Source organism: Homo sapiens, chromosome 4, assembly GCF_000001405.40.
Source record: "Homo sapiens chromosome 4, GRCh38.p14 Primary Assembly".
Lineage (NCBI taxonomy): Eukaryota > Metazoa > Chordata > Mammalia > Primates > Hominidae > Homo > Homo sapiens.
In genome coordinates, this window is record NC_000004.12 from 8,559,231 (window position 1) to 8,568,912 (window position 9,682).

At 44.1% G+C, this 9,682-nt stretch overlaps 1 annotated feature.

Moving 5' to 3' along the window:
• Positions 741-1,455: an enhancer, noted in NCBI's record as "H3K27ac-H3K4me1 hESC enhancer chr4:8561698-8562412 (GRCh37/hg19 assembly coordinates)". NCBI's record gives its function as "activates a minimal SCP1, AML or CMV promoter by ChIP-STARR-seq in naive H9 embryonic stem cells {active_cell/tissue: H9 hESC(naive)}" and the evidence as "EXISTENCE:reporter gene assay evidence [ECO:0000049][PMID:30033119]".

The window sequence follows — 9,682 nt, forward strand, 5'->3', positions numbered from 1 at the left end:
CTCACTTCCTGGGATCGAGGGAAGACCAAGTCACAGACCCCAGCCTCAAGGAGCCCGAGAGGAGACAGGCAGGCAAACAGGCACCCAGTGAGGGGCAGTGGTGATGCTGACGAGCTGTGCCTTCAGCTCACTCTGATGGGCATTGGGAGGGTCGGTCTTAGCTGTCAGCTTGGTCAGGCGATGAGCCCAGGTATCCAGTCGAACATGAATCCAGGTGTTGCTCCGAAGGTATTTGTGGGTGTGATTAAAGTCCATAATCAGCTGTGGGTGTGATTAAAGTCCACAATCAGCTGCCTTTAAAGGAAATTGTCCTAGATCACCCGGGTGGGCTTGATCCGGCCAGTTGAAAGGCCTAAGAGTGGAATCAATCCTGGGGGCAGCAGCTGCAGCCCATCTGAACTTCCAGCCAGCCCCGCTGATGACCTGCCCTATAGACCTCAGACTCGCCTAACTGGCTCCGTGATCCTCTAAGCCAATTCCTTGCAATAAATCCCTTGTGATAAACCTCCCACTGGCTCTGCTCCTCTGATTGAACCCTGACTGATACCATCGTCATAATCCAGCTGTGAGAACTAGGCTTTTTCAACTATTCTTTCATTCCACAATTATTTGTTGAGCACCTACTATGTGCAGTCTCTGGAAAGGCTCAGAGTCTAGCAGAGACCACAAAGTTCAAGCCCTTACCCCTGCCTCTAAAGGGGGAGGCCCATGATTAAACAAGCCCAGAGGTCAAGAGTGGACCAGGTGCCATTGCATTGTATTTGAGGAGGTGAGGTCATCTCTAGCCTTATCTAGGGAGTCTCTCCGAGGGCACAAGTGTCAGACAGGCTGGAGTTATTCAGGCAGGCCCTCCACAAACCCTTTCACCCTTTCACTCTCTCTGAGCCTCGGCACCCCGCCCCACCATCTGAATAGATGGCACCTGAGCCGTGCTTGGTAGATGCTTAGTTTCTGTCTGTGCTAGGGGCTGAGAGGTAGCCTCCCTCCCTCGCTCCCATGGACAGGCATCCGTCCTGGCCTGGGTTTGGCTTTGTGGCATCAGATGGAGGACAATCAACGGCAAAGCCTTAACTCTGGAAACGGATCTGGTTTGGGGTCTTGTCCTTCCTACTGGCCTGCTGGCTGCAGGGCCGTGTGGGGCCTCAACACTGTCAGCAGCTTAAGGCAGGCCATTCGTACACCCCTCCTCCATGCCTCAGGGTCCCCAGACTTGGCCTTGCAGAGGCCACAGCTAGGGGGAGGGTTGGGGCCTGGACAGTGTTGTGCTGGTAGATGTTGAACAACCAGCCCCGCAGGACAGGAGCCTTGGTTGGAAATGTTTGTCGGTTCCACAGTGTGAATACTTCCACTGCAGCCCATCTCCAGTTACCAATGCGGGGTACTGTGCATGGAGCTGGAGAGAGGTAAGTACAATCGCTTCTCCACCGGGCCCGGGCTTCTCTCAGGTTTGAGGCTGGAGGTGAGTGAGCTCCCCCTGGGAAGAGGCTGGGCTGCCGGGGGAGGAGCTGTCTGGGGGCGAAGAGGGGCCCACTGAGCCCAGGACTCTGCAGCCAGCCTGGCTCGCTGGCACAGCCGGGAAGATTTCCCTAAGACTCACCACTCTGTGTGGGGCTCTCAGTAAATGTTTATTGAGTGATGCATGATGGATGTTAAGACATTGAATCAAATCTTGCTCTGACCTTTGAGTCAGTCTGTTGGGTGTGAAAGAACCAGCTTTTCTGCTCTGTTTGCTGGAAGCGTCTGAACCCCTCCTGGGGCCTCCTGCTCTCACCCTCCTCCCCTTCTCTGGGACCGTCCTCAGGGAAGGCCTCTGGGCTTGGCGTTTCACACAGCCTCTTTCCCACCTAATCTCAGGCGTTCTTGCAACAGCCCGTGGAGGTAAACAGCTGTGTCTCTCAGTTCCACCACTGGCCACAGGCAGGGCCTTGGGTGAGGTTTTCATCCTCCCTGGGTAGTGGTTTCCTCTCTCCAAAAATAGAGGGAGTAACAATATCTACTGCATAGGCTTGGCGAGAGGACTGCATGGGGTAACACAGGAAAGTGCCTAGGCTGGGTGCGGTGGCTCACGCCTGTAATCCCAGCACTTTGGGAGGCTGAAGCTGGCGGATCACGAGGTCAGGAGTTCGAGACCAGCTTGGCCAACATGACGAAACCCTGTCTCTCCTAAAAATACAAAAATTAGCCAGGGATGGGGGCAGGCACCTGTAATCCCAGCTACTTGGGAGGCTAAGGCAGGAGAATTGCTTGAATCTGGGAGGCGTAGCTTGCAGTGAGCTGAGATTGCACCACTGCACTCCAGCCTGGGCGACAGAGTGAGACTCTGTCTCAAAAAAAAAAAAAAAAAAAAAAAAGCTCCTAGCATGGGGCTTGGGACACGGTGAGGACAATTAAATGTGAATATCACCCTCGTTATTATTGCATATCATCATCACCACCAGCAGCACCTTCATGACCACCATCAGCACTACCAGCATCACCGCCATTATCAGCACCGCCACCCTCACCATTGTTGCTATCATCCTTGTAAACCAAGAAGTATCTGAGACAAGTCTCAATCAGTTTAGAAGTTTATTTTGCCAGGGTTAAGGACCTGCTCAGAAGAAAAGAACACAGATTGACAAAAACGGTGGGTGGTCTGTGCCATTCTCCAAAAATGATTTTGAGGGCCTCAATATTTAAAAGGGAGAAGCAGGCTGGAGGGGAAAAAGGGAGGGTGTGGTTGCATTAGTGAATCCTTATGTTGCAAGAGAAAGGGAGCAGGTATGGAAATAGTCAATTAGGTATTTGTCTTGTGCTCATAGAGTTGCTATCTGTGCAAATAACTTTTTATCTGTAGCTCTCTATCTGCTTAGGAACAAGAGGAAAGGCAGCTTCTTGCACAGTGGGGCTTTCAGACTAATGTTCTTCCAGTTGACATAGTGAATTGTGCTCAAGATTTTATTTTCCTTTCACTTTTCTCCTCCCACCCCCATTAAAAAAAATCTTTCAAAGAAAGCATCTTAGAAGAAAACTGAGTCTCTGGTCTTGGGTTTTGTCTGATGTCTCTCGTGGCTAGGATGGTTTATTCTGAGATGGCTTAGGTCCCAGGTGGTTAGGAAAGCTGACTTTTAGTAAGTTATGTAGTCTCGAGTCTCACAGAGAAAAATAGGGGAGGAAAAGAGAAAAACAATGGGAGGAATAACAACAAAAAGGAAAACAATCCTGGAAAACTGACATAGGCCATATGCCTCTGAAGTCCATACGTCAGTCAGTATGCAGGGATGAAAGTAGCTTAGGTCTTAATATATCAATAGGTTGCTGTTATTGTCTTTCAAGGTTTGTCTAGCTTCAGCTCACAGGGCTTAAAGGCACCGCTTTAATTTTTTTGTGATTCTAAATCAGGAGAAGATGGAAGGGAAAACAATGAAAAGAAAGAAAAAAATTGAAAATATTATTCTGGAGACTTGTAGCCAGGAAAAATTGTAGGATTCAGTCCAAATTGTAAAAAATAATAAAAATTGAAAAATCCTGGACAAGGCTACAATCTAATAACAAGTCTATTATAGTTTTTCTTGAGACATAATTTTTCTCTTTCCAATTCCCCAATTTTGTTAGAGACAAAATCATAGTAGGACCAATTTATTTGTAAAATTACGTTTTAGTTTAATGATAGTTAGCTTGATTATTTGCATAAAGTGCAGCAAGAATTATCTGCCGTATAGGCTTTAAAAAATTTTTGCTTGGCTGGAAACTTTTTCATAAGGAATCTAAGATTAGACCTTTCCAAAAGGCTTGAGCCCAGCCAAGGATTTATCTGTGCCTGCAGATACCTGTATGAATTGGGTGACTTCCTCTCTTTTCGAGGTCCCAAGAAAACGATCCTGGGCCTGTCAGAAAGTGACATTCTCACCCGCCACAGGTCAGAACCCTGTAAAGGACAAGGTATGAGGCCAGTTTTTCAAGGGGCTTTTATTGGCTCTATAGGTCAGCTTCATTTTCTCAAGGCAATCTGAAGATGTCATTCTAAGCAAAGCCTTGGTAAAATACCCAGTGTCTCCAATTGTGTCCTGCTATAAGATAGAACAAATTCTGGTTGAACCTATGTAAATAACTATATTGCCATAGATTAAGAATACCGACAGATAGTTTTCAAATTTCGGAGAAATTAAGTAGAGAGAAAGGAATTAGGTTTTAAATTTTGCTCATAAAAATTTACCTTAATTGTTTAAGAGTGTAAATATCTTAAAAGAAGAAAAACAAAACAAAAATAATCAAATGTTTTAAAGAGTCATAAAAGATTATTTCAGGCCAGGCACAGTGGCTCACATCTGTAATCCAAGCACTTTGAGAGGCCGAGGCAGGTGGATCACCTGAGGTTGAGAGTTCCAGAACAGCCTGACCAACGTGGTGAAACCCCATCTCTACTAAGAATACAAAAAAAAAAAAAAAAAATTAGCTGGGTGTGGTAGCAGGTGCCTTTAATCCCAGCTACTTGCGAGGCTGAGGCAGAAGAATCACTTGAACCCAGGAGGTTGCAGTGAGCCACTGTGCCACTGAACTCATGCCTGGGTGACAGAGCGATATTTAGTGTAAAAAATAAATAAATAAAAGATTATTTCAGGCCAGGCATGGTGGCTCATGCCTGTAATTCCAGCACTTTGGGAGGCTGAGGCAGGCAGATCATAAGGTCAGGAGTTCAAGACAAGCCTGGCCAACATAGTGAAACCCTGTCTCTACTAAAAATACAAAAATTAGCTGGGTGTGTGGTGACACACGCCTGTAATCTCAGCTACTCGAGAGGCTGAGGCGGAACTGCTTGAACCTGGGAGGCAGAGGTTGCAGTGAGCCAAGACCACACCACTGCCCTCCAGCCTGGGCAAAAGAGTGAGACTCCATTTCAAAAAAAAAAAGATTATTTCAATCTACTGTTAGTTCAGTCCATGCAATTAACTCCTGTTCTGCTTGGTATTGGGTCAGGAAACCTCACGAATACATCAGCTCTTTATGAGAACCCTGGAAGTTTTTATCTTTATTCCAATGGCACAATCTTTAAAGTTATCAGAGTACTTCTCAGAATTCTATAGCTGATTATAAACCATGCTATTGAAAGGATTAAAGTGAAACAATTGTGGATGTCAAAAGTGTTAGAACAGCCGTAGTTAAAGACATAATTGACAAGGAAATTTGGTTATTTCTGTGGCATACAACAATTTAACGTAATAATCATAATTGCTACTGATAACATATATTGAGATATACCAGAATCACAGGAATCTGGTACAATTTAGGAACACATACTAATAACACACACACACACATATATATATATATAATCCAAAGAAAGTTAAATACCATTTCATATTCAACAATGCTTCCTGTGTGATTTTAACATACCAAATCAGCTGAATATGTTTCTTTTGAACTTCAGGACCTAATATCAAAATAATTAATGAGGTCAAAAAGACTGAATTAATCATTTAATTCTGGAAAGCTTGTCAAACAGCAAAGGTTTAAAACTCTTGATATCACAAAACAGGGTCACAGGTCATTGTATCATTCATTTATTTAGATATAGTGCTGACTCAAACTTTTTTTTTTTTTTTTAAAAAGGCAAAAACTTTTACTCTTTGAGAGGAGGCTTACTTTCCCAAACAATACAACCTCATGAAGACAGCATGAAGTCAATTAAATTTGTCTCTCTCTTTCTCTCCTGGTCCCCCCACGCCCTCTCCTTTGTTTGTTTGTTTGTTTGTTTAGTTTTCTCAAAGGATAGTTGAACAGAAATCTGTTTCAGAAGAGAGAAAGACAAATTTTACCTCTATATGAATATATCACTTATCCTGCCAAATTTAATCAAATAAACAAATGTTTTATTTATTTTCACCATAAGATACAGTTTCTATAAACCTTTTTTTTTTTGAGATGGAGTCTTGCTCTGTCATCCAGGCTGGAGTGCAGTGGCGCGATCTCAGCTCACTGCAAGCTCCACCTCCCAGGTTCACGCCATTCTGCCTCAGCCTCCCAAGTAGCTGGGACTACAGGCGCCCGCCACCATGCCCAGCTAATTTTTTGTATTTTTAGTAGAGACGGGGTTTTACTGTGGTCTTGATCTCCTGACCTCGTGATCCACCTGCCTCAGCCTCCCAGAGTGCTGGGATTACAGGCGTGAGCCACCGCACCTGGCCTTCCATAAACCTTTTTATAATCTTTTATAATTTTTTTACTTTTTAAATTTATTTTAAAAAACTAATCCCCAGTATTTATACAATTATTATTATTATTATTATTATTATTATTAAAGAGTGGGTTAATGCTCCCAGAAACCTTGTTAATCTGACACAGAGGCCCAGATACTGGTCTTATATCAGTGTGCGTTTGATGTTAATGTTTAATTTGTAGAGAAACTCTGAACTAAACTTTATCTCTCAAAATTTGTCTTTACAATCTCACGCGTCCACCTCTTCCATGATAGTCCCTTGGCCTTGAGAGGTTGAATGGTTTTAATTTCTGGCCCTGCTTCTCATAAATGCAGCTTATTTTGATTATCATCTTCTCCTGGGTCTGAAGATGAGACTTTAACTGCTGTCAGTGTTTAAGGTTTAGCGGTCTTGGTGTCCTTTTGGACCCAGCCATCAAATCCTTGTAACTTAACAGCACGAGGACTTTAAAAGCAATACAAGGCCAGGCTTGGTGGCTCATGCCTGTAATCCCAGCATTTTGGGAGGCCGAGGTGGGTGGATCACCTGAGGTCAGGAGTTCAAGACCGGCCTGACCAGCATAGTGAAACCCCATCTCTACTAAAAATACAAAATTAGCCAGGTGTGGTGGCACGTGTCTGCAATCCCAGCTACGTGGGAAGCTGAGGCAGCAGAATTGCTTGAACCCGGGAGGTGGAAGTTGCAGTGAGCCAGGATTGGCCATTGCACTCCAGCCTGGGCAACAAGAGTGAAACTCTGTCTCAAAATAAATAAGCAATACAGAAAGTTACATGGACATAATAATTTTTTTTTAAATCTCAGTTTTAGTAAGCAAATAAAAAACTTAATAATGATGACATAGGAATTATTTCAATAAAACATGAAATATGGCCAGGTGCGGTAGCTCATGCCTGTAATCCCAGCGCTTTGGGAAGCCAAGGCGGGCAGATCACTTGAGCCCAGGAGTTTGAGACCAGCCTGGCCAATATGTCAAAACCCCACATCTACAAAAAATACAAAAATTAGCTGGGTGTTGTGGCATGTGCCTGTCATGCCAGCTACTTGGGAGGCTGAGGTGGGAGGATCATTTGAACCTGGGAGGTGGAGGTTGCAGTGGGTCATGATTGCAGCACTGCACTCCAGCCTGGGCGACAGAGAAACAAACCCCAAAACATAAAATATGTTTGTTAGGCCAGTTACCAGAAGCCAAAACAAAAACCCCACCTTCTGCAGTGTGATTTTTTTCCCTATGGGAAATCCAGTTAGTTGGCCTTGCAAGTCAAAACTGAAAACGGTACTTGAATTAATTAGACACAGGAAGAGTGTCTCCTGGTTCATAAGAGAAGGTGTTGGGTTTCATAGAATGATTTAGACAGGAACAGCAAAGAGTACAGAATGTTATAGTAGAAGAAAATACCCTTTAGGGCCGGGCACTGTGGCTCACACCTGTAATCCCAGCACTTCGGGAGGCTGAGGAGGACGGATTGGATCACAAGGTCAGGAGATCGAGACCATCCTGGCCAACATGGTGAAACCCGTCTCTACTAACAATACAAAAATTAGCTGGGCGTGATGGCGCATGCCTGTAATCCCAGCTACTTGGGAGGCTGAGGCAGGAGAATCGCTTAAATCAGGGTATTGGAGGTTGCAGTGAGCCAAGATCACCCCACTGCACTCCAGCCTGGTAACAGTGAGACTTTGTCTCAAAAAAAAAAAAAAAAAAAAAAAAAGAAAATTCCCTTTAGACCTTTAAGATAAAACATCTTTAGCATCAGATCACAACAATAGTTAGAATCCGAGTAAAAAAGTGAGAGGAGTTGAGAAAAAAGTTGAAGGGGAGAGATTATCTCAGACCTTCTCAAATGGGAGAGAAAGCTAAAAATAGCATGTCGACGAAGAGTCAAACTCTAAAATATTTAAAGAGATTTATTGTGAACCAAATGTGAGGATCATGACCCCCTGGCACAGCCCCAGGAGGCACCGAGAACAAGTGCCCGAAGTGACTGGGTTACAGTCTGATTTTATGCATTTTAGGGTGTCAATCGAAGAAAATGACGAGACAAGTTTCAATCATTTTAGGAGATTTATTTGCCAACATTAAGGATCTGCCTGGGAGACAGGTCTACGCCTTTCTCTGAAGATGATTTTGAGGGCTCCAAATTTAAAGGAGAAAGGGTGGGATATTGAGAAGCTCAGTTTTCACATTAAAAAAGGGGCGAAGGAAAAATGTGGGGAACCTGCATTTTACATAAGAGAACACCGACAAAATGGGGTAGGGGAGCAATCAGACATGCATTTGGTCTGGCGGTGGGGTGGGGGGGCCAGTGTGACTACACCCGTAAAGATAAGCTATCAATTTGCATTGCCATCATGAAGTTTTAACAGCTCACTAGGAATTTACTTGTGGGCAAAATATGGGGGAGGCTGGTAGCTTTTCATCCTGTAGCCATCTGATTCAGGAACCAAAAGATGGAGGCAGGTTTGCGTGACCCAGTTCCCAGCTTGACTCTTCCTTTTAGCTAAGTGAACTTGGGGGTCCCCAGATTTAATTTCCTTTCACAGGGGAAACTGAAGTTACAGGCAGATGTCAGTCAGTACATAGAAGGTATACATTGGTTCAGTCTGGAAAGGCAGGAGCACTGGAAGTGGGGGCTTCCAGATCCTAGATGGATTCAGAGATTTTCTGATTGGCAATTGGTTTAAACAGTTAGGATTATGACTTAAAGATCTAGAATCAATAGAAAGGAGTGTCTGTGTTAAGCTAAGGGATTGTGGAGACCAAGGTGTTTTTATGGTGCAGATGAAGCCTCCAGGTAGCAGGCTCCAGAGCTCTGATCAGACATGAAAAGGTGCCAGACTGTTAGCTAATTCTCTCCTGGATCAGGGAAAAGATCTGGGAAGGAAGGGGATTCTCTGCAGGATGCAGATTTTCTCCACCAGAGACAGCTTTTTAGGGCCATTTCAAAGTATGTCAAAGGAATGTACTTTGTGGTAAAATACTTCAGTTTCTTCCAGGGCCTGCTATTTCTCGTGATGCTAGGCGAGAGTCAGGTTGGAATTTGGTGTCTTATTGCTATAAAGAGTCTGTTTGTCCTCCTTAAGTCTCTGTTTTAATGTTAATGCTGGTTAGCAGTGCTCGAATTCCGAAGGGAGGAGAGTATTATGAGGCATGTCTAGCCTGCTTTTCATCATGGCCTGTGCTAGTTTTTCAGGTTTCTTTGGAATGCCCTTCACTGACTATGGGTCGGGGGTCCATCAGCTTGGGGGCTTAGAATTTTATTTTTGGTTTATGAGCAACACGCAATAAAAGTTGAACTTTTGGGTTAAAAATTAAAATCTCTTGCAATTTTATTAAGAATAAATACTTTAAGAGAATTTTGTTCTAGCCAATTCTTTAGTGTATTAGTGCATTTTTTAATTTTCTGAGACAGAGTTTTGCTCTTGGCATCCAGGCTGGAGTGCAGTGGCAGGATCTCAGCTCACTGTAACCTCCACCTCCCAGGTTC